This window comes from Homo sapiens, chromosome 11, assembly GCF_000001405.40.
Source record: "Homo sapiens chromosome 11, GRCh38.p14 Primary Assembly".
In the NCBI taxonomy this organism is placed as follows: Eukaryota; Metazoa; Chordata; class Mammalia; order Primates; family Hominidae; genus Homo; species Homo sapiens.
This window is the reverse complement of record NC_000011.10, coordinates 75,555,950-75,582,636: the sequence shown is the minus strand read 5'-3', so window position 1 is coordinate 75,582,636 and position 26,687 is coordinate 75,555,950. Positions and strand designations below refer to the sequence as shown.

The following is a 26,687-nucleotide window of genomic DNA, read 5'->3' as shown; positions in this document are numbered from 1 at the left end:
ATCACAATTCCAGGAGGTTCAGGCCATCCTGAGAAGAATCACTATGGCTTCCCTGAGCCCAAGCCGGGGGGCTGGCAGCCCCTCTCCCTCTCCCTAGGGCTTGGCTGGGGACCTCCCAAAGCCTGCCCAGGTTGTGGTATTTCTGCCCAGTTTGCCCAGGCATTCCTATAGCTTCCACATCTGAGCCCATCCCTCAGAGGCCCTGCAACCCAGCCCGCAGGCGCGTGGCCCTTTCTGCACACCTTCATTCCCGGAGGGAAGCCACTCCATCCCTCATCCATCAAAGCACCTGCACTTTCACTCCCTCTCCACCTTGGGCCATCAGTTCAACATCCTCTGCTGGGTGTGGTGGTGCATGCCTGTAGTTCCAGCTATTTCGGAGGCTGAGGCTTGAACCCAGGAGCTCAAGGCTGCAGTGAGCTCTGATCATTCTACTGTGCTCAAGAGCCCATCTCTTGAAGTGGGGGGAAAAGGGGAAAAATCCTCTACGGCGTTTATTCTGGTTCTGGGTGGGCCAGGGCTTCACTGTTTTACATTCCCACCCACAGTGTAGGAGGGTTCCAGTTTCTCCACATCCTTACCAACACTTGTTATTGTCCATCTTTTTCATGTAGCAGTAATTTCTTTGGCTTGTTCCAGAATCTTACATTTTTTTCTTACATAAAAATTGGTATCTAATAAATATGAGTAGATCTCTATTGTTGTGTGGATTAATGGGAATCCAGGAAACAGCTTGTTTTGGCAGGAGGATGGACTCAATTTGGTGTCCAGACTTCTGGACATGGTGGTCTGAGACTGGGAAAAGGGTCTGAGCTGAAGGCGGAGATGCAGACCTCATTGAAATGTGAGCCTCGCCAACCCACAGAAGGTAAAAAGGCTATGAGAGAGGGTGAGTTTACCCAGCAGGAGTGTGGAAAGCGAGAGACGGATGGGGTCAGGTCAGAGCGCTGGGAAACACCCACATTCAGGGGACAGGCAAAAGAAGGAGCCCCCAAGTGGAGGCTGCCCTAAAGCAGCAGAGGAGTCAGAAGAAAACTAGAAAGGAATGTCACCTTGGGGAAGACATCAAGGATGAAGAGTTAACAGGGTTAGAGACCATAACGGCTTCCCTGCAATATGGATTTAGAATCTGTTGAACAAAATGGGCAAAATGTCGTTACATATTGAAGTTTTGTGATGGGTACTATTATTTATTTATTTTGAGATGGAGTCTCACTCTGTCGGCCAGGCTGGAGTGTGGTAGTGAAATCTCCGCTCACTGCAACCTCCGCTTCCCAGGTTCAAGTGATTCTCCTGTCTCAGCCTCCCGAGTAGCTGGGACTACAGGCGCACACCACCACGCCTAGCTAATTTTTGTATTTTTAGCAGAAACAGGATTTCACCATGTTGGTCAGGCTGGTCTTGAACTCCTGACCTCAGGATCTGCCCGCCTCAGCCTCCCAAAGTGCTGGGATTACAGGCGTGAGCCACCGTGCCCAGCTATGTGTACTATTATTTAATTGTCATGTATGTTGGAATTTTTTTCATAGGCGCGAAATTAGTTTTTTTTGTTGTTGTTGTTGTTTTGAGATGGAGTCTCACTCTGTTGCCAGGCTGGAGTGCAGTGGTGTGATCTCGGCTCACTGCAACCTCCGCCCCCCAGGTTCAAGTGATTTTCCTGCCTCAGCCTCCCGAGTAGCTGGGACTACAGGCGCATGCCACCATGCCCAGCTAATTTTTTGTATTTTTAGTAGAGATGGGGTTTCACCATGTTGGCCAGGATGGTCTCGATCTCTTGACCTCGCGATCTGCCCGCCTCGGCTTCCCAAAGTGCTGGGATTACAGGCATGAGCCACTGCATCCGGCTGAAATTAGTTTTTTTTAAAGTAGCAATAAAGAGATCACTGACTTTGGCAATTGTAGACTCTCTAGAGTAGAAGAAACAGAAGCCCGATTTCGGATAAGGGGGATAAGAAAGGAGAGAAGTCAAGTGTGTTTTCATACCTGATGCATAATTTACTGACATCTCATTTAGCAACCACTGAGCACATATAACCCAAGTATCCCTGAGAAAAGAACACACTGTGTGTTACAGTCATTAATTACTTTCACAATCCCTTGGTGCCTCCCACACTGAGACCACTGTCAGCTAAGCCCAGCCAGCAGTGAGCCAAGAGTCCTTCCCCAAAAGGAGGAAAACTGCTTGCTAAGGAGCACCAGGCTTCACTCCTAAATTGTAGATACTCCATTTTGATTCTTCTATCAGAGTTTGCCATGGGTTCAAATACCATCCCATCTGCCGCAGACACTTGAGCCATCTTGGGATCGGCTGGGCTATCAGGGCCATGTGGCAGAGCTGCTTGCCTTTCATTCTGGACCACCTGGAAACTTTCCTTTTCTCTGGACCCCACTCCAACCCTGCAGCCTTATAGGTTACTCAATAACCTTATAAGGATCAGAGAAACACACCAATATATTTTGCTTCCAGAATACATAGAAGCCCAAGAAGTGTTGTGCTTATTAGCAGTAAGAGGCAGAAAGCCCAGCAAGTTGTCTTTCATTTTGCAGGGATCCAGATCACTGAACACCCAGGAACTTCACGTGGTTGGCAGGCCCCTATGTTCTCATGAAACTTACTTCCATTCTTAGGCACACTTATGTCTTATTGATGCATCTGAAGTACCCACTGCTTCTCCTTCTCCCAATCCTAGCAACATAGTATAATCAATGTAGTGGACAAATATAATGGCCTGTGATATGGGAGGATGATCAAAATCTACATAGAAAATCAGAGACTTGAGGAGTTTCAAGACAAGATGAGAAAGGTGTACTGCTATCCCTGCCAACAGAAAGAAAACTGCTAAGGGGACTGTCTGTAGAGGACAAGAAAACATAACTCATCAGATAGTTTTACATTGTGACAAAAAAACAATTATAATTCCCATAAAAAGACCACACCTGGAATAATAGCATCTGCAACTGAACTCACCACCTGAGTAAGCTTACAGTAATGACCTGTCATTCTCCAAGACCCGTGCCTTCTGCACAGACCAAATAGATGAGTTAAATGAAATGTGACAGAAACCACCTTTGCATCTTTCAAGTCTTTGATGGTGGCACAAGTTCCTGTTACTCCCCAGAATTTATTATTGGTGTATTATTTTGGTAAGAAGGAGGAGATTGAGGGGTTTCCACTTGATCATTTTGCCATAATTACGCTTATTCCACAGGTCTGGAGGCTCATGTATGAATTCTACCTGTAATTCCAATTATATATCATGAAAGTAAAAAAAAAATAATAATAATTGCAGAATGGGTTCAGGGTCCCACTGCACTTGGGTCAAAACTCCAATTATTACCTGACCAACCTGAGCCTCTACACAGCAGCTTTCTGGGTCCTCAGGAATTAACATTAAATAGACTTAACATCCACTAATCCCTGAAAAATTTGAGTATTTTCTTTCCACAGAGCACAGTTTTCTGGCAAATGGCCCAGGACCGTTTGCAGAAGGCTGAAGGAATGATTTACAGTATGTATCTCTGGTGCTATTCAAGGGGCTTTTCTGAAGGGTACTGGCCTCTCTTTCATTCTAGGGACTTTGGGTGAGAGGTTGAGATCTTGTTCTTAGTGGCTCAAGTCAAGCTTCCACTTGCCAGCTCTAGAGGGTTTGTGTTTGTTTGTTGGTTGTTTTGATTTCCTGTTTCTGTTATAGAGATTAAGGAGGGCCAGGTGCGGTGGCTCACACCTGTAATCCCAGCACTTTGGGAGGCCAAGGTGGGTGGATCACCTGAGGTCAGGAGTTCAAGACCAGCCTGGCCAACATGGTGAAATCCTGTCTCTACTAATAATACAAAAATTTGCTGGGTGTAGTGGTGCATGCCTGTAATCCCAGCTACTAGGGAGGCTGAGGCAGCAGAATCACTTGAACCCAGGAGGTGGAGGTTGCAGCGATCCGAGATCGCATCACTGCACTCCCATCTAAAAAAAAAAAGAGAAAGAGAGATTAAGGAGGACCTTAAGAGCTGCCCATCTGTTTGGTCTCCTTGGTCTTATTTGGTCCTTGATTGATCAGCCTTTGCTGAAGACATCTATGGTCAGAACATGCTTATTGCCACCTGAGGTCTGATGTCCTGGGTGGTCGAGTGCTGCTCGCCCTCTGCTCCCCTGGGGTCCTATCATTTCCACTGAAATCATGGAGTCCATTTTCATGGCAGCATCTCCCACCAGTATGCCGAGCCCACAGAGAGCAAGTGCTGCAACATGCTTCAGAGATGCTTCCCTCACTCATGTGTTTCTGGGTGCCTTGGTGAAGGGGGTCTTTCTGTACAAGAGGAAGTTAGGCATGTGGAGCTTAGCCAAGGAGAGGGAGTGGGCCACACAGGGAACAGTCACCTCAACATTCCTCCCTCCCTTGGTCTTTGGATTGCATCTTCTATATTAAAACGAGGAACTTCTGGCATCTCAATTTCAATGAGCACAGGCCTTGATTGAATCCAGGAGTCAGTCAACCAGTTAAGCAAACAAAACCACTCCTAGCTGCTCACACTGGCACATTGAATCTAGAATCTCAGCTAAATGTACCTATATTAATAAATTCAGCCCGGTGAAAGTCATATTCCTCCGTCCCTGGATTAGCACCCACAGAAAACATTCTGATATACGCTATCCAGATTTTTGCTGATATAAGTTAGCAAAATCTTGCAATTCTTTTGATGTGTGTGCTGCCTCCTCCCAGACTTGACTCAGGAATTAGGCAGGCAAGGATCTATCCATGATGGGGCTGGAGACAACGTGAGTGGGGCATGAAGAGAACTGGCCTCTCCTCAGGTGACAGATGCCCACCATATTATGCTCCAGAAGAGGAGTCTAGTTTTCACGCTTTGAATCTGGGTTGGCCTGATGACTAGCTTTAACCAGGAGAATGTATTATAAGTGACATAATGCAAGTTGCAGAGCCCAGGCCTCAGATGCTTAGCTCCTGCCTCCATTCTCCCGGAATCCTGAGGTCACCGTGCCATGAAGAAACTGGGAAGGAGGATGCTGTAGACAGAGAGGCCCAGCATCAGCCATTCCAACTATCCCAGCTGAGCCCAGCATCCAGTGATTGCAGTCATCTGAGCAAACCCAATTAAGTCACTACATGTGGAGTGGCCTGTTACTCAGCAATAAATAACTAAAACGCTGCAGGATAACTTCCAGGCAAGGTCATTGCAAGATCTTCGGGCAAGGCAGCAGGAGCCTCCGCAGGTAGAGGAGCAAGGACTGCTTCTGCCACTAGGAGGCGCGGTGGAGTAGATGTTGTTGGGGCGGGGGCGGGGGCGGGGGCGGGGGGGGGCCTCTAAATTGTCCATATCTTCCCATATGACACTGTCTCATTCTCATCGAGGTCAGTGCCCTAAGTTTCACCTGAGACAGAGCAGTCCTATGAATTCAACTGATAAATTGACTACGTAATTTGGCAACGGCAGCCTCAAATTCATGTCTTAAGAAATCAGAAGGCTGGGTGCGGTGGCTCACACCTGTAATCCCAGCACTTTGAGAGGCCCAGGCGGGTGAATCACGAGGTCAAGAGATTGAGACCATCCTGGCCAATATAGTGAAACGCCCTCTCTACTAAAAATACAAAAATTAGCTGGGTGTGGTGGTGCGTGCCTGTAGTCCCAGCTACTTGGGAAGCTGAGGCAGGAGAATCTCTTGAACCTGGGAGGCGGAGGTCGTAGTGAGCCGAGATTATGCCACTACACTCTAGCCTGGCAACAGAGTGAGTCTCAAAAAAAAAAAAAGGAAGTCAGAAAATGTGGCTCAGTGCACTCTCCTCTGCCTGGAGTTTCCCCTGCTGAGCTTGGGACCTCTGCTTACACCAAGAATGGGTAAATGGAGAAATGACATGGAAAAAAAGAAAGGAAAAGAGCTGTCCACTTCTCAGCGTGGGTCTTTTCAATACAAAGCCACTTCCTCATTCTTGCTGGAGCAGCCAGGCGGGTCAGTGTGAACTGGGTGCGCCCCGAGGGATGGGGCACTGGAGACGACCACGTGGTGGGGCTGAGCAGACTGAGAAAAGTCACACTTGAGAAAACGGAAGACGGCAGCAAGATGCATGAAGGATGGTGTGTCTCCAGGGCACCTGAAGGGATGCTGCTGTGCATGCTGTCATGCTTCTGTCTAGGGGCCTGGAAGGTTCCCTGGGGGTTATAGTATCCTTTGAAATAGGCCTCTAAGGATGAGGGGGCTCAACAGGCAGAGATGGGAGGGGCCTGGGACCAGGCAGAGGAGACAGCATGGGCAAATGGGAAGGGGAGATGGTGAGAACTGAGAGGGGCTGTAGAGTTAGCGGGAGTGGCGGGACAGAGGATTGGGAAATTCAGAGGGATTGAGTGGCGAGGGCCATCTGTCCTGCCTCTAATAATGCTCACTGACCCTCTGAGTGCCTTATCCAGGGGGTTCCCATCATGTAGCAGTTCAATCCTCCATCTCCCACTTCAGCCCTCCTCACCACCCCCCTCCCTGTGTTCCACGATCACCCTGCCCATCGCAACTGCTGCACCTCTGTTCCAGCTGTTCTTCACATCTGGAATGCTTCTTTCCTTCTTGTCGTCCAGCTCCAGCCCCTTCTTCCAGGAGTCTCCCCTGACACTTCAGCCCAGCCTGAACCCAAGGCACTGTGGCATAATGGAAGGGGTCAGGCTTTTTACAGTTGCAGAGAGGTAGGCTCAAATCCCAGCTCTGCTGTATGATTTTGAATCACTACCTTCTCTTATTAGTAACTACTAATAATGTTTATTGGCTATGTATTTGCCAAGTACCATGGATTACCTCATTTAACTTTCACCACAACCTTATGAGGTAAGTACTGTTATCATTTCCACCTTACTACTGAGGAAACTGAAGCTCAGAGAAGGTAAGTAACTGACCCATGGTCACACTGCTAGGAAGTGGCAGAGCTGGGACGCCCGTCAGGTCTGTCAGGCTCCAACGCCTCTGCTGCTAAACACCACAGCTCCCACTAGACTGCTTCCTTAGAAGGTGCATTTATTAGGCGCCTCCTGTGTGCCGGGCATTGTGTTAAGTGCGGGGATGCAGCAGGACACAGGCAGACAAGGGCATGCTGTCGCAGAGGTCACAGCTGGAGTGTCAGGACAACAAGCCCCGTGCTGCAGGGACTGGGGAAAAGATGGGTGACCGCCCCCTGCAAACTGTGGAGCATGGAGCTCACACACGTCAGTAACTTCTCCTTCCTCTACAGCCAGGAAACCTGGGTTCCCATGTGAGCCAAGCTCTGTCACTGTCCTGCTGGGTGGCCTTGAGCTGGTCACTTCCCCTCTCTGAGCCCCAGTTTTCTTGTCCATAACATGGAGCAGTAATAGCTACTCTGGAGGGAAGTCTGAAAAGTAAATGAAATCATACATGGCAGTGCCAGGCACACAGTAGGCACTCAGGAGAAGGCTAATCCGCATCCACATCTGGGACCCGCACAATCCAACAGGCTTATTATCTCCCAAGACTTTAACAAGCACCAGGGTGAGAATAACAGGGTAATCCCTCCAATGGCCTCCAGGCAGCAGGAAAGCTCCACACAGGGCAGTGATGGGGCACTGGGGGGCAGCAACACTGGCTGGACCAACCTCTAGACCCCACCCCACCCCTAACTCACCCACCTCTGCCACCTGCACTGCCACTCACACACCAGCAACTCCAGTCCTCACGGACGGGTGTTTGAGATGCAACAGCACAGACCTCTTACCACCCTCCCCACCTGAGTCAGGATGGAGGAGCGTGGCCTCAAGACCCCCTTTGGGTCCTCTCGGTGGCCCCACACCCGGGCCTGGCTTATTTTACTGCCCATTCCCACTTGGTGGGGGAGCTGTCACAGGCTGAACTTCAGGGCCAGGAGGCCTGGGTTCCAGCCCAGTCTCTGCCTTCTCTGAGCTACACCTTGTAAAGTTAGGATGACTTCCCACCTAACGGGGCTATTGCAAGGATTAAGAGAGATGGATACAGATCGTATGCAAGTTAACATGCCTTCATTACTAGAATCTGTGCTCAGTGCTGGGTTCCAGGCACTGTGTTAGGGGCCTCTCCTGCCCTTCCTATGTGGCGAAGCAACTACCCAACCGACTAGGATCTAGTCCCAGCTCGGCCCCCACTGACTGTAGGGCCTCAGGCAGCTCACTTAACTGCTCAGCCTGTTATCTCACCTGTAAGATGGGGACAATCCCTACCTAACTAGCCAAGCTGTTAGGAAGCTTGGATAAAATTGTACATATTAAGTATTTGGCACATAGGAAGAGCAAAACACAAAGGCGTACCAGCTGGTTGCACTCAAAGCATTATTCTGATCCAGAAATGCCTACTCACCCTTTAAAGCAGCCCCCATATCACCTCCTCCTGGGAGCCTTCCTCGATATGTGCATGATGCTAAAGCTAGGTGCAGGATTTGCTGCAATAGACAAACAGCCATGGACCCTCTCTTCATGGAGCTTCCATTCTAAGAGGGGAGGCAGGCAGGGAAGTCTTAAGTGGGTAATTTCATAGTGCTAAGGAGTCAGTAAAGTGAGAAATCATGGTAGAGAAACTGAGGTGGGAGAGGGACTGCTTGTGTAGGGTGGTCAGGGAAGGCCTCTCTGAGCAGACGTTTACGCTGAATCCTGGATGACAAAAAGCAACCCTGCAAACATCTACAAGAACCGCCTGCCAGGCAGAAAGGACAGCTAGTGCAAAGTCCCTGAGGCAGGGGGACAAGCGTGGCACACCTGGAACAGAATGATCCAGGTGCCTGGAACACAGTGAGCACTGAGTACCCTATCCCTAAGTCTCCACCTCTAGACAAAGCCCCTTGAGGATAGAGATCTGAATGATTGAGCCGAAGCACAGGATGGCCCTGGGACTCTGAGCAGTCTTGCTGAAACTCTGTCGTGGCAATGATGGGAGTGAATCAGCTGGCCCTTCTGCAGACCCATGTACATCTTGGTGGCTACTGCTGGATTGCTCAGCCAGGTAAGGGGTCCCTTCCTGAACCAACAACCCCCAGGTCACAATCTTTGGCAGAGGAAAGCTGGACGTGCCCAGAGAGAAAAATGACCTGTCCTAGGTTAAAAGGCCAGCAGGCAGCAGAAATGGGCCTCCAGCCCAATATCCTCTGCTCCTCTGCCTCCCTGGCCACTGGCTCTGTTCCGTGCATCCCTCTCTCTCCCTAAGGTACGGTGTCAGGAGCCCTAAGGACCATGAGGCATCCAACCGGAGGACTGTGTCAAAAAGGACCGTGTTGGGTGCCTCCTCCTCCCCTGCTACAAATCCAACACTTCGGGCCACCTAAGGGCAAGGATCCCCACAATCTCCTTCCAAAGCCCAGCCCAAAGCCAGGCAACTTACTAAATGTGTGCCTGAGTTTGTACCTGTAGCCCTGGATGTAGCATGAGGTCAGCGTGCAAGGAAAGGCTAGGGGAGCTGGGCATAGTGGCTCATGCCCATAGCCCTGCCTGTAGTCCCAGCTACTCAGGAGGCTGAGGAAGGAGGTTCGCTGGAACCCAGGAGTTTGAGTCCAGCCTGGGCAATATAGCAAGATTCACATCTTAAAAAAAGGGTAAAGAAAGAAAGGCGAAGAGGCTGAAGACTGGCTCCAGGTCCAGTGCTCTCATTCAGGTCCTGCAGCTGCTACTTCTCCAGGGCTGCCAGAGCCAGAACCATTTCCCGGGTCAGCACGGAATGCACCTGCCACTTGGCGCTGTCTGCACAGTGATCTGCCAGCGATCTGCCAGCATTCCAGGGCCTGATATGAGCCATCAGTAGCGAGTCTGCCTTAACAGGAGACCTTGTCCCCTGGGAAGAATGGTGTAAGAATCTCCTGATCCAATCTTCTTCCACGCTCCAACAAAATGTCATTGGAAAAGTTTTATTGAAAAAAAAAATGTACAAATAAGTTCTTGGATTGATAGCAACAAAGGCTCATGTTCCCCCTTCCCTCCCTATCTTTGAAGAACTAAAAAAGGAAGAAACAAAACAAAAAGTTCATCCCCACAACGCCAGACACGATGCTTCTTGACCAGAGTCTGCCCAGAAGCCCCTCCTGGGAGCTCCTTCTCAATCCGCCTCACTGCGGCCAGGTCATTCTGGGGGTGCCTGGTCCCAGGGGCTGCAGCACCTAGTTTTATAGTTGGGAGAGGTTGGGATAGAGCTGGGGAGGCAGCTGAGGTGTTTTAGTGTCAGAAGAGGGCTGGCTGACCCCCCTAGCTCAATTTGGTCTCACAGGTGAGAAGGTACCTGGCTATAAATATGAATACTGATTGAGGCAGGCTTGATCTGGGACTTTCAGGGCAGGCAGAATGACTATGGCCCAGGTCCCACAGGATGTGGAGTTTCCGGGCTCAGCATCATGGTATCTGGGGCCCATGTCCAAGTGGAGTGAATTCTAGCTGGGAAGGTCCGCTCAGGCACACGGGAACCCCGGTCTGTTTTTCCACCCCCACCCCATGGAGTATCCAAGGCTGGTACCTCACCTCCCCCCCAACCCCAATAGCACCCATGTGTCTCAGGAGCCTTTGGATGCCTCCTGCCATCCTGTGTGCACCCTGAGGCCCTATAACTCGTCTCGCATCTTGTCACCCTTAGGCCGGACCAGGCGCCCAATGAATAGCAGGGAGCCGCTTTGGGTGTCCCGCACTAGGAAGATGAAGGGGTGGTCGGCGTAGAACAGCTTGGGGCTGCGCAGCTCCTCGCGCCCGTAGATGTCCTGGTCAAAGGGGTTGCCATCTGTGTCCAACTCAAAGGCGGTGGCGTGGAACACGCTGGCCAGGTACAGGTCCTTCTTGCCTGACATGCGTGACAAGTCGGCCTTGTTCTTGTCAATGGCCTCAGTCAGGCCCAGCCCAGCCAGGTGTTTCTGTGGGAACAAGGAGGTGTGCCAGGTGAGGCCATGGCTGCCAGGCTCCTCCACCCTCAAACCCTCCACCCCATACTACCCTGACCGCTCCTCAGAGAGGAGAGAACCACCCCCTGGTCACCTTCTGTATGCCAGGCATGGCACTGGCACTTCAAATCACAGCTTTCTCAATTCTCACTGCAACCCTACAAGGGCTTCTAATTGCCACTTCACAGATGAGGAAGCTGAGACTCAGAAAAACAAGTGAGAACGTATCCCGGCACTGCCCAGCTGCAGTTCAGGGACAGACAGCATGGGCACCACCCAGGAGCTTATCTCAAATGCTCATGTCCTGACCCCAGCCCAGACCCCCTGAATCAGAATCTCTGGGAGTGGGCATGGATTCCTTTTCACAAACTCCCCAAGTGCTTTCTTAGCATACTCAAGTTTGAGAAAGACTGATCTAAGGACAACTATGTCCACATCACTCTGGGGCTGAAAACCTGTCCAGAGTGATAGGATGCCTGGAATTTGCTTCAGAATAATCAGATGCAGGGGGGAATTAGTGGGTATAAATGGATCACTATTGGCCATGAGCTGATAATGCTTGAAGCTGGGCGACAGACACTTGAGGTTTCATTACACTAATCTACTTTTATTTTTCCAATGTTCGATAGTAAAAAGTTAAAACACATATACACACATACACACACACACACACACAAACATCTTTCCATGGCCCTGCACAGCTCTTGGAAGCCAACCATAAGCTCTTTAACATATGACCTGTGCCTACGTGGCAGCCTCCAGCCACATCCCTTGGCACGCCCCACCCCACTCTCCAGACAGCCTCACAGAACAGCTTATATCCTGGATGGCCATCCTGTCTCCCATTAGGGCTCTTTAGAAACCACTTCTTTCAGGAAGCCTTCCCGAGCCCACAGGATGAGTGGTGCCTCCCTGGACCTTCCTGTTATCAGTCTGGTGCTGCCTGTCTCTCCCACCTGGCTTGGAGCTCCCTGAGGGCGGGGCCCATGTCCAGCGCTCTCCCTGGCTCTCAATGCAGGAGAGAGGACAGTAAATGGCTGTGGGCTGAGTGAATGGCAGCATCCGGGTCCAGGATTCTTCAGGATAACATCCACCTCCCTGGCAAGGCCACACAGGAACTAGGCCTGAGGTCCTGAGAGTCAGGGGGTCATGAGACAGGCATTCGAGGTAGGCCCAGCTCTTCCCACCCGGATGACCTTGCACACGTCATCCGCCTCAAATTTCCTAACTCAATCTACCCCATATCTGGGGGGTGGGGTCTCCACTGAGGGTTCCAGGAAGACACCAGAGGAACAAGGGGAGAAGGGGGTGGGACAACAGCCACTGGAGAAGGGGCTGGGGAAGGATCAGGGCCAGGACCAGGAGAGAGACAGTGACCCCTCTCCAGGAACTCCCAGGGTCTACAGCACAGACCAGTACGAGCTCCACTTGTCCCTGGTTTGGAGCCTAAGCCCCACTTCATCTCCAGCTTTATCTCTCCAAGCTCTCTGGGCAGCAAGTCTGGATCGATTCTGCAGGTGAGAACCATTTGTGGCATCCAAGGAAAGAATGACACGAAAGTTTCCTTTTTTGGGTAAGTCAAAAATATCTCTCGATTGACAAAAAGGCGGCTATTATGTTTTTACCTTGAGGTCTAATTGCAACTCCACCACTTATGAGCCTGGGGAACCTTAGGGAGTCATTGCTTCTCTCTGAGCCTCTGCCCACTACCCAGGGTGGTTGCAAGGGAGAATCTTGAGAATGTGTGTTAAGTTTCTGGCCATCCTAGATGACCCATAGCTACCAGTCTGATTATTGGATGGTAGATAATCCTCTAGCTTAAACAATCTATAACTGGGGGCACTTCAGACCTCAGAGGCAGTGCAGTGACCGAGGGTTAGCTCTGGTGCAAGATGTCTGAATTACTAGCTGTGTGACTTTGCACAGGTTACTTAACCTTTCTGAGCCTCAGTTTCCTCATCTCTAAGATGAAACTTATAGTCCTACCTAATAAAGTCGTTTTGAGGATTAAAAGAGTTTAATACGTATAAAGGCTGGGCACGGTGGCTCACACCTGTAATCCCAGCACTTTGGGAGGCTGAGGCAGGAGGATCACTTGATGTCAGGAGTTTGAGACCAGCCTGGCCAACATGGTGAAATCCCGTCTCTATTAAAAATACAAAAATTAGCTGGGGGTGGTGGCACATGCCTGTAATCCCAGCTACTCGGGAGGCTGAGGCAGGAGAATCGCTTGAACCCAGGAAGTGGAGGTTGCAGTGAGTCGAGATGGCACCATTGCACTCCAGCCTGGGCAACAGAGTGAGACTCCATCTCAAAAAAAAAATAATAATAATACATATAAAGTGCTTAGAAGAACGCCTAGCATACAGGAATGTTCCGTTATATTTAGCTGCTGGTATTATCATCATCTTCCCAAGGGCATGGCCCACACCTCCTGCCCCAGCTTCCCCCATCACAGAGCCCAGCACTGCCTGGACATCCAGGGGGTCTTGGGACAGACCTGCTGAATTGGTGAGTGGGTCCCCCAAGCACCTCCCCCTGGCTCCAAGGCCTGCAGGCCCCTAGGCTGGGCCACCCCTTACCTGCAGGTCATGGGTCACCTCCACCACACCCTTGGGCAAGGAGATGGCAACAGCCTTCTTCTGCATCTTCCCCATCCAGATCTTCAGCTGCTCTTTGGTTAGCAGCTTTTCAAGGCGCTCGAGAGGCTCCACGTGATGGGGCATGAGGATGATGAGGCTGGAGAGCTTGTGGGCCAGGGGCATCTCCACGATTTGCAGCTTTTCCTTCTCGTCGTCGTAGTAGTTGTAGAGGCCTGGGAGAGGAGCGGAAAGGACACTGGGCACCCTGTGTGCAGGGGTGGGTCAGACCAACTACCCTTGGACCCCCACCCACCTTGACACCCTGCTCCTCACAGCACCTACCTGTCCGGTGCATCATCATGACACCCACGGTATAGGACCGAGTCACCATGAAGCCACGGTTGTCCACCATCTTGTGGTGGAATTTCTCATCCCAGTGTGCTGTAGTTGGGGCAAAACACAGGGTCAGAGACACATGGCCGCCCCCAAACACAATCACAGCCCACAGCCACCCCCGGCTGCAGACCTTGATTTATCCTTGCCACAGGTCTTTGCTCCATTCTTCAGGGCCCAGCTATAGAGCACCCAGCCCACAGAGTCTATGTTCCCAGCTTTGGGAAGGGGTCTTGGCCCCAGGACATGCCATCTGAGGATGCGGTTCCCTACAGTCAGTGCCTGCTGCTCCCATATGATAGAGAATTAATTCCGCCCTCAGGTCAGCCACCTCTATGGCCACCCCCGGCTCTAGCACTTGTCAGATATTTTGGAAACATGCTCTGAGGTGGGCTTTCTACCCTCCCTGGTACCTGGGGGACAGCTGTGCCCTGGGCAGGGAGTGCCCCATGACCACCCTTAATTTTTTTTTTATCTTTTTCTTTTTGAGACAAGGTCCGTCCCACTCCATCCTACAGCTGGAGTGCAGTGGTACAATCATGACACACTGCAGTCTTGAATTCCCAGGCTCCAGCGATCCTCCCACCTCAGCCTCCAGAGTAGCTGGGACTACCAGCATGCGCCACCACGCCTGGCTAATTTTTTGTAGACATGGGGTTTCGCCATCTTACCCAGGCTGGTCTCAAATTCCTGGGCTCATGTGATCCACCCACCTTGGCCTCCCAAAGTGCTAGGATTACAGGCATGAGCTACTGTGCTCAGCCCACCCTTCGTTTTCCTCTGCAAGTTCTGTCTCCATGACCAGAAAATAACAACAAAAAATGTCTGAGAGTGGCCTGAACCCTGCCCTTGCTCACAGCCAGACCTGTGTTCCAATCCAAGCTCAGCCACTGACTCGGGGAGACCTCAGCTCTCCTAGCTTGGCCTCATTTGTAAAACGAGGGTTACTTCATTCTCACAGCAAACTGTGAGAATAGTGTTGTCTATGGAGGTACTCAAAAATATTTATTAACCCTACATCTAATCTTCAACTGAAGACAGAGGCATCTGGGCCTGAGGCCTGGCTCTGCTTCCTCCTTGCTGAGCCTCAGTTTCCTCACTGTGAAATGAAGGTAACACTGCCTGCCCCCAAGGTTGCTTTAAGGATTCTGGGTCTTGGCCGCACATGGTGGCTCGCACCTGTAATCCCAGCACTTTGGGAGGCCGAGGCGGGCAGATCACTTGAGACCAAAAGTTTGAGACCAGCCTGGCCAACATGGCAAAACCCCGTCTCTAGTAAAAATACAAAAATTAGCTGGGTGTGGTGGTAGGCACCTGTAACCCCAGCTACTCAGGAGGCTGAGGCAGGAGAATTGCTTGAAGCCCGGAGGCCAAGGCTGCAGTGAGCTGAGATCGTGCCATTGCACTCCAGCCTGGGTGACAGAGTGAGACTCCATCTCAAAATAAAAATAATTTTAAAAAAAGGATTTGAGTTCTTTCTCTAGCTCACTACTGAGGCAGAATGGATTATTAAATGTTATTCATTCCAAGATACACAAGGACGAGCACTTTGACGAAATTCGGTCGGAATACATTCCATGGAGTCCCTCTGGGGCCTCCGCTCCCTGAACCATTCCTTTACACGCTGCTACCTGTCTCTGAATCTAGTTTCCAGTCTGTACAAAAAGCTGAGTGACAGTCCTGCCTCCCTGGGTTGTCACAGCATAAATGAGAGGCAGTGAAGAATGGAGCGCACGGAATGTCGTCCTAACTCTTGCAGGGGGTCCTGGGAGGAGGAGGAGGACCCCTGAACGCGCCCCCGACTCACGCTTGAAGAACATGGCGTTGACTAGCAGGGCGCCGTCCGTGCGCTCCACGTCCTTGGTGACCTCGGGCAGCTTGCCGTCGGTGGTCTGCGCGGCCCACTCGTTGATGGACTGCAGCGCGCTGCGCTTGTCGCGGAAGTTGATCTTGGAGTGCTCGCAGTTGTAGTGCTGCTTGCTGCTGCGCACGAAGTCATCAGCGAAGCTCACTGAGCTGGGTCCGTACAGTCGGCTGCCCAGCTTCCAGGTCACGTTGCGCGCCGTGGAGTTGCTGAGTGAGCGCAGCAGCTCGCCCAGGCCGGCGTGCACCTCCTCGTCGCGCAGCTGCTCGGCGCTCAGCACTGCCTTGGCCTGCGACGCCGTGGTCGCCTTGCCGCCCAGCGACACGAGCCCTAGCGACGAGGCCACCACCACGGGTGACACCAGGATGTTCTCCACTGCCTGGTCCTTGGCCATGGCCTGGTACAAGCTGAAGGCCAGGCCGGCGCTGCGCTCGGCAAGCGTGGCCGCCTTGGGGCTCAACTTCTCCGCAGTGCCAGGAGCTGCTGCGGCTGCAGGTTTCTTCACCTCGGCGGCCAGGGCCGCCTCCAGGAGGCAGAAGGCGCTGAGAAGCAGGAGGGAGCGCATGGCCAGGAAGTGGTTTGCGTGCACCACGGTGGGCCTGTGAGGATTGCACAGACAGGGTGGTCTTGAAGCCCAAGGCCTTCCTCCCCAACAACCACCCTCAGCTCTCTGGCTGCCACAAGTCCCCTGGAGATGGGGGCAAGAGAGCCCACAGTCCAGGAATCCCAGACTTGACTCAGAGCTGCCAGCCTCTCAGAGGCCTCTGTTACCTCCCTACTCAAAGAAGCATTCCCAGCAAGTCACCACCAGACCACCTTATTGATTTCCTGCATCGGCCAGCCAACACTTCCACTTATTTGTGTGTTTATTTCATAACTATTTCTGCTCCTAAGTAGGCTGTGGCCTCCAGGACAGAAAAGCTAGCCAATCTGGTTGCCACTATATCTCCCGTGCCTAGTACACAGTAGGCCTCAGCTCTTCCTGAACGAAGGTAAAACAGGGTCACTTGGCCAGACCTGGGGTCCTCATCAGTTTATAGAGTGGTCAGCCCTGATCTCACATAGCCCTGGGAGCCCTTTTCCAGTGAGAAAAAGCAGCAGCTGAGCTGAGAATCTGCAGGAAACCCAGATGCCTGGGCAAGGGATGAGGGACAGAGCCGGAGGGCTGCCCCGCCCCCATGCCTTTCATTCTGCTCTGGGATGTTAATGAGTCACCAGTTGGGTCACTCATTAAATGGGGAGCCAAGATGCTCCACTTTGCTGCCCCAAGGGTGACCCTGAGAGTGTGTGTGTGTGTGTCCTGTGTCCACTCAGCCTCAGTCTCCCTTTTCCAAGCTGAAAGGTCCAGGTCTCCATGCCCATGGCTTCTGTCTGGGCAGGAACTTGGAATGCCCATCTACCCACAGTGCTCCCAGTGCGGATGGGAAATCCCCAGGACAAAAGCTCCTGGGGGACCAACTCCTTTGAAGACTCGGTGGGGCTGGGGAGGAGGCTTCCTGACATAGCACAAGGACAGGATACTAGGGAAAAGGGTGAGTCACACATAGCTCAATAGAGCAGTGACCCCCTTCCCCATCACCAGCAGCTGGCCAGATGTGCACTCAGCCTTCAAAGAAGCTGGAGCCACATCAGATTCCATTCTGCCCTCCAATCTGACAGCCACTGCCACACAGGCCATCTGCTCCACGGCTTCAGGGTTGCCCTCAGGCCTCCTCCCCAAGCCCCAGCAGTAGCAGTGGCCCCAAGGACAAGCCCCAGTTCCCTCTCTGGGGCCTCCAATTTGGACAGTCTCTGTTCCTGGGATACTTCCACACTCCCTCTCTCCCTTCGGGCCATTATCCTCCTCTACATCATGCAACAGCACAGGAGAGATGACAGGGCAAAGGGAAGGATAGAAGGAATCCTGGTGGAGGCTGCGATCCCACTGCTCTGGTAGATCCCAACTTGTAGTCATCCTTGAAGAAGACCGAACATTTGAAATCCTGGTGGAAGACCCTCAGGACTCTGGCTGCCTGGGGACCACTGTATTTCTGGGAAGATTCTACTGCTGCCATCCCAAAAACCTGGACAGGCTCCCCATCTCCCGGGACTGCCTCCCTCCTCGGAGCCTTGAAGGTGCAGTATAAGATAAGCAAAGGGTCCAAGGGGAGGGAGGTGGGGAGAGGAGGGAAGGCCCAGAGATCTAAAAATGTCTGGAAGGAGCGGGGAGATCTGAGTCTCACCCTAAAATGAAGGGGATATCTTGGGGCCTAGAATAAACCCCAAGACACCTCCCTCCCAGCTCTGGCTCCTTCCCTGCCAGAACTGGAGCCTCAAAGGCAGAGCAACCATATAATTTATTGCACAAACAAGGACACTTATAAGAGTAAAATGGGCACTACTAATTATTATGCCAGGACAATAGGCATATGGCCACCCTACTCAAAAGCCACCTCTGATCCAGACCAGTGATGCTGGAGCTCAGACCACAGCAGAGGCCAACAGCCTTCCTTCCCTGAGGAGGCAGCTGAAGAGCCCACTCCCAGCCATGCCACGTGGCAGGTACCATCTTGACAGCCCCCACCCCCACCAGCCAGAACCTCAAAGGACTGGGAGGGGCTTCTCAAGCAAGCTCCAAATAACTGGTTTGGGATTCCTCAGGCAGCCCGCTAGGCCCGCAGCAGCTTAGCGCCTGCTCCTGGTGGTGACGTGGCAGGCAGGAGGCTGAACTATCTCCACCGGCCGGCAGAGGGGGGCTTCCAGCCTGGGAAGCAGGCCTGACTCAGGTCCCAGGGGGTGCCACATATTTGCCAGGGGACTCCAGGAGCCTTCTTGGCCTTAGTTCCCTTCCCATCCGCACATGAATCTCTGAAGGGAAATGCGCTACTGGGGAGAAGGGCAGCCCCACTGAACCCAGCAGCAGGAATGGGGGAAGGCAAGTTACTGCAAGCAGGCCAGCCTCCCACAGCCCAGCCCATCTTGCCACAGAGAAATGCCAGCCCTCAGGCCAAGGTTAGCTGAGTTACAGTCCCACAAAGAAAATACAAGATCACCTAGCCAGGGCTGTGCCCACAGCTAGCTGGACTGAGCAGGGTCTGGAAGGGAAGGGGAGGAGATGATGGGACCCCACCAGAGGGTCCCAAACACTTGAGAGGTCTAAAGTACCTGGAAACTGCCTCAGAGGGAGGTCAATGCCTGCCTTTTTCATTCTGAAAGAAAACAGAAGAGTGAAGAGGGCGGGAGCCGGCAAAGGAGAGATGGTGAGGAGGCCCCTGGCGCAGAGGGCACAACCAGTCCCCAATCTACAGGGACCTTGGAGATCGACCACCTCACTGTAAAATGGGAGAAACAAGGCCAGGGCAGGGGGTCACCCCAGGTCCCTCGGGATAAACAGGGGTCTGCCTTCCCAGCACAGGGGTCCTTCCTCACAGAAGCACAGAGCCCCTCCTGAGGGCTGCATGCGGTGTCCTGTTACACAGCCAGTACAAAAAAAAAATCTCTGCTGGGAGTCCCGGTGACAGAGGAGACAAAGGAGAGGACGGGAAGGGGGGATGGGTACATGAACCATCTGAAGACAGGAGGGTGTGGCCCCGGCCGGAATTCCGGAGAACCAAAGCCCCCTCATTTTCCTCAGGCCTCCATCCGGGCCGTACAGCCCAGAGGGACCAGCGGGAAACAAGGAAGAGGAGGGGCTGAGACTCTGGGCCAGTCTGGAAGTGCATTCATTCTCCTTCCTGCTCTTCAGCCACCTCAGGAATGTCTCTAAGCTGGGGGGCAGGGAACCCCAGCCTCTGGAAGTTAGACCCTGCAGTTTAAACCCTGCAGTTACTCCAAGAACCCTGTGGCAGTGGACAGAAGGAAAGACTCAAATCCTTCTAGTCAGCCCCTTAATCCCCAGAGCAGAGCAGACCCTGCTGACCCCCACTCTCTTTTTTCGGAGTGGTAGGGAGCCTCGCTGGCCAAGTCTTTCCTTTGGCTGCCATCATCTAGGCTGCAAGCTGCTGATCAGAAATTGAGCCACTGTCGCCCACTTCTACCAGAGCACACGGACCCCAGGAGTCGAGACGATTTCACCTCCTTTCCCACCACCGGAAGCTCAAATTCCCTCAGCAAGCCTGTGAGGAGGCTGGGCCACCAATCACCGCTGCCCCTGAGCCTCAACCCCAGAACGGAAGTGACCTGGAACTGCGAGGCCGGCCTATCCTCCCTACCCTTGCGGGAAGAGGCACCAGACCCATCTCCTTCCTCCTCTGTTTCTTTCCGCAGAGGCTCTGCTCTCTGCCCCCAGCCCCCTTTACACAGCACCTAGTCTCGTATCTGCCACCACCACCTTTTAGGGGTCCCTGCACTTTTTCCCAGTCCTCCGAGTGCACGGACTCCCAACCCGGCTCCGATCTCCGCCCTAGCCCTCAGCTGGCACCATCACTGGCTAGCCCTGGGCTCTCGATTCCAAACCCTCCAGCGGCCCCCAAAGTGCCGAGGACTCCAATTTGTAGGCTCTGGCTCGGCACCCAACGCTTCGCAGGGTCCCCTCGCCCCTCTTACTCCCTCGCGCACCCCCAGATTGCTCGGCGCTCCCCCGGGCCGCACGCACGCAGGCGTCTCCCGCCCCTCACCTGGGTCGGGCTGGGCTAGCGCCGGGACGTGACTCTCGCTCTCGAGCCGCGACACGATTCTACTCTTAGCCCGCTCCCCTGCTCCCGGGATCTATATATGGCAGTCCCCACCCCCTCCTGCCCGTCCCGAGAAACTTCTGGAAAGTTGGAAACGCTTCCGGAGGGCGCCCCAGCTCCGCCAAAAAAAGCCAAAGACCTCCCTCAAAACCTCCCCGGCCCCCGGCCCCTCCCTCTGCCGGCGCCTCCCGGCCCCTGGGTCCTACTGCCTCCCTCGGCGGCCCGGGCTGCGGGGCGCCGGGAGTCCCCACGGGGATCAGCGTGTCCTTCAGAGTGCGAGCTTCCTCCCACCCCCAGGCTCTCTGCATAAGCTAGCCCACTCCGAATCGCACGTCCTTTCAGGCGCCCCTTTCCCCGCAGGGGCTCTGCCCCAAGCAGAGCCATCTCCCCTTCTCCCCGCTCTCCCCCATTTTCAAGCTGAAACAATTGAGTCCTGTGCACCCCCTCCCTCTCAGGGGAGACGTTCAGGCTTCTGAAGGCAGTGCCCTTCTCCATACTTGTACATTCAAAAAACCTCAACCTCAGCGATGGCCAGAGGGAGAGGGAGCAGACCAGACCCGGTACCTGCCCGGCACCCGGAAAGTTCAAGTCGTGGAGTAATAGAGGCAGAGATGCCTGGGGAACTTCAGGTGGTCTGGCTGGGCTTGGAGGAGTGCACAGGAAGGAAAACCTGGCTCTCCACTGAGCAAGGTGCTGTGTGACCCTAAGCAGGTTACTTTCCCTTTCTGGGCCTCTGTTCCCTTGGCTGTGAAATGTGGTTCTAAGGCATCCCTTGCTTTTTTTCCCCCCTCTCTCCCTTCCTCAATCCTTGTCACCCCTGGCCCCCTCCCTATTGCATCCCCTCCCTCTTTGGGTCCCCTCCCACAGGCCTCAGGTCTCACTGTCAATTCCTACCCCACCCTCGCAAACTGATAGCTCCTTGACCTCCAAGTTAAGCTAGGGTATTCATTACTGTTCTAGGTGCTGAGGACACAGCTGAGAGCTGAACAAAGTCCTTGCCCTGTGCGATGTCCATCTGTGGGGTATGTACCTGTTAGTAGGGAATTCAGTGATTCAGTGAGGCAGATTATTTAGGAAACCCTAAATAATCTGGGCGACAGTGGCTCAATTTCTGATCAGCCGAGGCTCCCTACCCTCCGAAAAGTCCTCTTTAGTAGTTTAATGATAGCTATTGGATGGACGCAGTATGGAGAGGAAGGGACAGGGTAGGGACTCTTCATTCATTCAGTCATGAATGAATGCATTGAGTATCTTCTTTCTTCTAGGTGCTTGCCTGGATCCTGGGGAGCAAAAAAATCCCAGTACCCAGCAAATGAGTCAATCACCTGGGTCCCTGCCCTCTGTTAGTGGTTGTGGGGAAGCCTGGTGGTGGTGACAAACCTCTCTGTCTGGGTAGGCTTCTGCAGCTCAGAGTCTTTTGAGTACAAGGACTGTGGGAAATCTCAGATCCCAAAAGCTTCAGACTCTGTGATTCAGGGTCAAGGAATCAGAGATTACTTCCACTCAAAGCCCCCAAGGAGTCTTTGAATCCAGCTAAGGAATCTTAACATGTTAAAATCTCAGAGTCGAAGGATTCTGGAATAAATGTATTAAAGACTCTGAGCTGCAAGGCATCTCAGAGGTCAGGGGTTCCTGTCTGCAGCCCCAGGCAGAAGCCCTCTTCTCAGTATCCCAAAAAGGCAAGCACCGAGGCACCTCTAAGAAGAGAGAGCTTACCTCCTTCAGAGGCAGCCCCGCATTCTTTTTTAGGACAGGTCTGATTATTAACAAAAGCTTCCAGCCTTGGCATGGTGTCCATCTCTTTGGGGTGGCTGTCGTGGTTCTCATGTGCTTCCTCCTGCCTCAACTGTATATTGCTTTTAAAGATAAATTCTAGGCTGGGCGCGGTGGCTCATGCCTGTAATCCCAGCACTTTGGAAGGCCGAGGTGGGTGGATCACCTGAGGTCAGCAGTTCAAGATCAGCGTGGCCAAAATGGTGAAACCCCATCTCTAATAAAAATATGAAAATTAGCCAGCTGTGGTGTCATGTGCCTGTAATCCCAGCTACTCAGGAGGCTGAGGCGGGAGAATCTCTTGAACCTGGGAGGTGGAGTTTGCAGTGAGCCGAGATCATGCCACTGCACTCCAGCATGGGTGACAGAGCGAGACTCCATCTCAAAAAAAAAAGATAAATTCTTGTTTATCCAAGGAGACCTCCCGGGTCCCAGGCCAGACCCCACTCTCTACTCCCACCCCCACATTGGCCCTCAGGCTTCCTTGTGACTTGGTCAGTGAGCTGAGGGCAGGGCAGAGCAGAAACAAAGAGTGCCCATCAATGCTGGCAAAACAGAGAGGGTCGCCTGGGTTTTCAGCAGGTTCAGATGTCACAATCCCAGTGAGACTCCCTTCCTCTACTCTCTTACATCTCTTAGCTCTTTTAGGCTTCACCAACACCTGAGGGGGAGACTGAGAGTGCTGTGACTGTCCCATTTTGAGGGATAAACCAAAGCTCATGCTGTTAAATAGACCCAGTATCATGAGTGGTCACTGAAGAGAGGACCTGCCCTTACAGACAGCAAAGCTGAGGCCTAAGGAGGGCTGGGTCTGAAGGCCCAACCCCCATCCGACCCCCACTAATCTCACACCGGGTCAGAAGCCTCCTCTGTGACCTATCCCACTGCTGCATTATCTCTGTTATCACCCTGTATTGTCAGTGAACCATCACTGGAGACTTTGGAAGGGCAGGGCCTTTTCCTTGTCACTGTGAGTCCCCAGCTCCAGCAAGGGGACAGTATGGAAGAGGCACTGGGTAAGCATGGCTGGCCAGGGGATGAGAAGTGGCTGCCTGAGGCTGCTGTGCCCCTAGCACAGCCTCCCTGAAGAAGGGAAAGCAACGGCTCCTTTAAATTTCCAAGATCAGCAAAAAAAAAAAAAGTCAAGAGCCTTTGCCACAATATTCTTAGCTCTGAGCCCAGCCCAGACTGACTGTGGCCCTTCCCCCACATTCCAGGCAGAGCTTTCCGGAAAAAGCACTCTTTTAGGGGGTGGGGGAGAAGAGTCTGATAAGCAGAGAAACTCTCAAGCATTTTGTCTCTGGACTCCTCCAGTGCCTCGCTTCACTGAAGGAAGTGGTCCTGGTGCCTGGCACGTGGAGGCTGGCTGGAAATCCTCTAGATCCCTAGGTCCCGAGAGGTGTGGACAGCAGAAAGTAGAAAACCATCAAGTCCAACTGCATCCACACTATACAGAGAGGACAACGGAAGCCCAGAGAGGGCAGGAATTTACCCAAGGTCACACAGCATATCAGAGGTGGGGCTGGGCTGGAGCCTAAGCCCTGGACTCCCAGCCCTCTTTCTCCCACAGTACCCTCTAATGACCCAGGGGGGTATGTAGGCCCAGTTCTGCCAGGTGCTGTGGAAACAGCTTTCTTTGGCCCCAGTGGCTAGATTCACTCAGTCTTCACCCCATAGAATCCTAGGACAAAAACTTGCATGTCATTTAAGTGTGCAACACATTCACATTTATTATCATATTTATTCCTTTCAGGTAAGGAAGAATGTTCCAATTTTCAGCATGAAGAAACTGAGGATCAGGGAGACTAAGCAACAGGGTTAAGGGCACACAACAAGCCAGAGTCAGAGCTGGGTTTTGAATCAGGTCTGTTTATGCCATATCCACGGGAAGGCAGGGAGTGGACGAGAAGGAAGTGACATTTATGGGCCATTTTGCCGCTGCCAGGCCTGTGCTGGGCACCGTCATTAGTGTCTCACTTTTAATTATAGAACGTTAATCGGAAGGAAGTTTAATCCCCTTCTTTTTACATTGGTATAAAATTGGAGCCCAGAAAGCTCCGACAGCCAGTCCAGGGTCGGCCCCCTCCCTCAGGGAGCCAGGGCTGCTATAGGCAGCTCTTCTTTGAGATGCTGTCCAGGAGCCAAGAATGTGCTCTCAGCCCAAGGCATGAGTCAGGAAAACACGATTTCTGTAATCTTGGATTCTCTCTCTTGGAGCGTGGGGCCTTCCATCCAAAAAGGGCTGTCCTGCGTGCTGCCACGTTGGAGGGTGGGCAGCCGGTCCATGTGGGGGTGGGTGGGCACATGATTCCTCCCCTCCTCCTCCCAGAGCAGGCCCGCCCCTACCCGTCTGCAATCCTGGTGCTGAGCGAAGCCACATAGGAACTCCAGCGCCTTCACCCACATGCCTGGCACAATACCCAGGAGACACAAGCCCACTGACTCGCTATATACACAGGCGTATGTGCACCCACATACATGGTGCACACACGGCACTTGAGCAGCCCCTTCACACAATCCATGTACACACATGTCTGTGTAACTCCAGTAACCCAAATGCACCCCACCCCCCTACACAAGTTTTTGTTGGGTATTGACATATACACAGGATCAGGTTCCCCGCCCCCTCTCCCAGCCTCCCTCTCTCAGGCTTCCTCTGGCAACCCATGGAACCAGCTCCAGTGCCTGCAAGACCAGGCCTGAAGGGCTGGTGGGATGGAGGATGTGTGTTAACTACAGCCCTGCCTTTCCCTTCCCGTCTTGTTCTCCTCTCCCTTAGGTGCTGCTGAGCCTGTAATAACAGTGATGCCCAGGTGGGCTACAGGGCTGTCCTCCCTTGTCTTAGCATCCCTGACACTCAGAAAAGGGACTCCTGAGCTCTGACCACCCCCTACACCCTGCCAAACCACCTCTAATCTGCTTCAGCCCAGTTCAGCCCTGCTGTGCTATGGAGTGTGAAATGCCCTCACTTGGGGGTTAGGAGACCTGGGATCCTGCCCCAGGTCTGCCACTTCTTGGCTATGTACCCATGATTTAAATTACCCCTCTGTAAAATAGGACTGATAGTCTGCAGGATGATGAGACACACAGATAAAATAATGAATAGCAGAGGACTTTGTGAACACTAAGTGATGTTAGGCTCTCCACTCCACACCTCTGCTCACATCTTCACCAACTGGTCAAATCTTACACAACCCGTAGACGCCACTCTGACCATTCCTTCCCTGTCCTCTGACCATTCCTGCTCTGTCCTCTGAGCGCTGTCCCATCAGTTCCAGTCACACCTCACCTTGCACATACACACGACGCTAACAAAGGGCTGTGACTGGAGTGGGGACTTCCCTGGGGAGGCACAGGCAGAGGATAGTAGTCTGGCAAAGCAGGAGAAGCCCAGCCTGGGAGTCAGAAAGTTTGTGTTGGGATCTGTCCCTGGTGACCTTGGAAAGTCACTGCACCTCTCTGCACCTCAATTTCCTCATCTGTAACATGGGATATGGGCTGAGTCTGGAAGAGTTTGAAGGATTTAATTTTAAACAGGTAAAAGTATTTGTACACACTCCTGGCAGGAGGAAAAATTGGCACACGCTTTCTAGAAGGTGGTTGGCACTTTTAAATAAAAATATGTTATTGAATAATTCCCTGCAACACTATTTATAATAGCAAAAATCAGAAACAACCTAATTGTCCAGCCATAGGGGTTGAGAATACCATGAAGCTGGAAAAAAACAAAAAGCCAGGAAGTTCTTATGTCCTGATACTGAATTTGGTGTTAGAGTGGAAGAGCAGCGTGCAGAGCGTACATTACCTATTTACACATTTTCACAATTTGAAATTATTCATGTTCTTTTGGAAAAAAATCAATTTTTAGAAATTTCACTTAAGGAAATGATGTTTAAAAATATGAGCATAGATATATGCAGAAGGATGTTCTTCAGAGCCTTGTCTGTAATAACAAAAAATTGGAGAGAAGGTCAATAAGGGATGAAGTATTTGCAGATGTCAAAAAGGGGAAAGCTTGTTGTAATCCCCAGGCACAGAAAGATCGCTTGGTGGATTGTTGGATAAAAAATAAAGCCGTTTATGAAACAGCCTGTTGATGAAAATTCCACGGGAGAGCTGCAGATATCTGGAAGAATGTTCACATTTCACCAAAAAGTTAATGCTGGTTTTGGGGTGATTTTCACTTAATTTTTTAAAAGTTTCTGCTATTAAAAGATTTGGGGTTATTTATTTTTTATTTATTTAGAAACAGAATCTCACTCTGTCGCCCAGGCTGGAGTGCAGTGGTGCAAACATGGCTCACTGCAGCCTAGATGTCATGGGCTCAAGCCATCCTCCCAAGTAGCTGGGACCACAGGTGTACGCCACCAACCGTGGCTAATGTTTTAATTTTGTAGAGACAGGGTCTCCCCATGTTGCCCAGGCTGGTCTTGGACTCCAAAGGCTCAAGCGATCCTCCCGCCTTGGCCTCCCAAACTGCTGGGATGACAGGTGTGAGCCACTGCGCCCAGCATGGGTTTTTTATTGAATGAATGTATAG

At 52.2% G+C, this 26,687-nt stretch overlaps 1 protein-coding gene across 9 annotated transcripts, besides 14 other annotated features; it reads right to left on the bottom strand.

Moving 5' to 3' along the window:
* Positions 4,339-4,507: a silencer, noted in NCBI's record as "fragment chr11:75289175-75289343 (GRCh37/hg19 assembly coordinates)". NCBI's record gives its function as "represses an EF-1alpha promoter that drives an FKBP-Casp9 reporter gene in an ReSE screen in HepG2 liver carcinoma cells {active_cell/tissue: HepG2}" and the evidence as "EXISTENCE:reporter gene assay evidence [ECO:0000049][PMID:32094911]".
* Positions 5,630-6,130: an enhancer, noted in NCBI's record as "H3K27ac hESC enhancer chr11:75287552-75288052 (GRCh37/hg19 assembly coordinates)". NCBI's record gives its function as "activates a minimal SCP1, AML or CMV promoter by ChIP-STARR-seq in primed H9 embryonic stem cells {active_cell/tissue: H9 hESC(primed)}" and the evidence as "EXISTENCE:reporter gene assay evidence [ECO:0000049][PMID:30033119]".
* Positions 9,854-20,384, bottom strand: SERPINH1 (serpin family H member 1). Of its 9 annotated transcripts, none has more exons than NM_001440311.1 (6): positions 20,259-20,384; positions 18,867-18,910; positions 15,666-16,321; positions 13,808-13,906; positions 13,466-13,698; positions 9,854-10,856 (listed from the first exon to the last, which is right to left on the bottom strand). In NM_001440311.1, the coding sequence occupies exons 3-6, from the start codon at positions 16,285-16,287 to the stop codon at positions 10,554-10,556; spliced, it is 1,257 nt and encodes a 418-aa protein (NP_001427240.1). In that variant the 5' UTR covers positions 16,288-16,321; positions 18,867-18,910; positions 20,259-20,384; the 3' UTR covers positions 9,854-10,553. The 9 variants fall into 9 exon arrangements, with proteins under 9 accessions (NP_001427240.1, NP_001193943.1, NP_001427245.1 ...); NM_001207014.3 differs by having other exon boundaries at positions 20,318-20,384; NM_001440316.1 differs by lacking the exon at positions 20,259-20,384 and adding an exon at positions 19,621-20,164.
* Positions 13,728-14,228: an enhancer, noted in NCBI's record as "H3K4me1 hESC enhancer chr11:75279454-75279954 (GRCh37/hg19 assembly coordinates)". NCBI's record gives its function as "activates a minimal SCP1, AML or CMV promoter by ChIP-STARR-seq in primed H9 embryonic stem cells {active_cell/tissue: H9 hESC(primed)}" and the evidence as "EXISTENCE:reporter gene assay evidence [ECO:0000049][PMID:30033119]".
* Positions 15,463-16,077: an enhancer, noted in NCBI's record as "H3K27ac-H3K4me1 hESC enhancer chr11:75277605-75278219 (GRCh37/hg19 assembly coordinates)". NCBI's record gives its function as "activates a minimal SCP1, AML or CMV promoter by ChIP-STARR-seq in naive H9 embryonic stem cells {active_cell/tissue: H9 hESC(naive)}" and the evidence as "EXISTENCE:reporter gene assay evidence [ECO:0000049][PMID:30033119]".
* Positions 16,078-16,693: an enhancer, noted in NCBI's record as "H3K27ac-H3K4me1 hESC enhancer chr11:75276989-75277604 (GRCh37/hg19 assembly coordinates)". NCBI's record gives its function as "activates a minimal SCP1, AML or CMV promoter by ChIP-STARR-seq in primed H9 embryonic stem cells {active_cell/tissue: H9 hESC(primed)}" and the evidence as "EXISTENCE:reporter gene assay evidence [ECO:0000049][PMID:30033119]".
* Positions 19,085-19,623: an enhancer, noted in NCBI's record as "H3K27ac hESC enhancer chr11:75274059-75274597 (GRCh37/hg19 assembly coordinates)". NCBI's record gives its function as "activates a minimal SCP1, AML or CMV promoter by ChIP-STARR-seq in primed H9 embryonic stem cells {active_cell/tissue: H9 hESC(primed)}" and the evidence as "EXISTENCE:reporter gene assay evidence [ECO:0000049][PMID:30033119]".
* Positions 19,624-20,164: an enhancer, noted in NCBI's record as "NANOG-H3K27ac-H3K4me1 hESC enhancer chr11:75273518-75274058 (GRCh37/hg19 assembly coordinates)". NCBI's record gives its function as "activates a minimal SCP1, AML or CMV promoter by ChIP-STARR-seq in primed H9 embryonic stem cells {active_cell/tissue: H9 hESC(primed)}" and the evidence as "EXISTENCE:reporter gene assay evidence [ECO:0000049][PMID:30033119]".
* Positions 20,165-20,704: an enhancer, noted in NCBI's record as "NANOG-H3K27ac-H3K4me1 hESC enhancer chr11:75272978-75273517 (GRCh37/hg19 assembly coordinates)". NCBI's record gives its function as "activates a minimal SCP1, AML or CMV promoter by ChIP-STARR-seq in primed H9 embryonic stem cells {active_cell/tissue: H9 hESC(primed)}" and the evidence as "EXISTENCE:reporter gene assay evidence [ECO:0000049][PMID:30033119]".
* Positions 20,329-20,378: a silencer, noted in NCBI's record as "silent region_3770". NCBI's record gives its function as "represses an Ori minimal core promoter by ATAC-STARR-seq in GM12878 lymphoblastoid cells {active_cell/tissue: GM12878}" and the evidence as "EXISTENCE:reporter gene assay evidence [ECO:0000049][PMID:35858748]".
* Positions 20,389-20,648: a silencer, noted in NCBI's record as "silent region_3769". NCBI's record gives its function as "represses an Ori minimal core promoter by ATAC-STARR-seq in GM12878 lymphoblastoid cells {active_cell/tissue: GM12878}" and the evidence as "EXISTENCE:reporter gene assay evidence [ECO:0000049][PMID:35858748]".
* Positions 22,840-23,690: a transcriptional cis regulatory region, noted in NCBI's record as "candidate enhancer chr11.4356 targeted for multiplex CRISPR interference". NCBI's record gives its function as "positively regulates SERPINH1 gene expression with high confidence in K562 cells {active_cell/tissue: K562}" and the evidence as "EXISTENCE:mutant phenotype evidence [ECO:0000015][PMID:30612741]".
* Positions 22,840-23,827: a biological region, named in NCBI's record as "CRISPRi-validated cis-regulatory element chr11.4356". NCBI's record gives its function as "regulatory_interactions: SERPINH1".
* Positions 23,286-23,827: an enhancer, noted in NCBI's record as "H3K27ac hESC enhancer chr11:75269855-75270396 (GRCh37/hg19 assembly coordinates)". NCBI's record gives its function as "activates a minimal SCP1, AML or CMV promoter by ChIP-STARR-seq in primed H9 embryonic stem cells {active_cell/tissue: H9 hESC(primed)}" and the evidence as "EXISTENCE:reporter gene assay evidence [ECO:0000049][PMID:30033119]".
* Positions 24,163-24,393: a transcriptional cis regulatory region, noted in NCBI's record as "candidate enhancer chr11.4355 targeted for multiplex CRISPR interference". NCBI's record gives its function as "positively regulates SERPINH1 gene expression in K562 cells {active_cell/tissue: K562}" and the evidence as "EXISTENCE:mutant phenotype evidence [ECO:0000015][PMID:30612741]".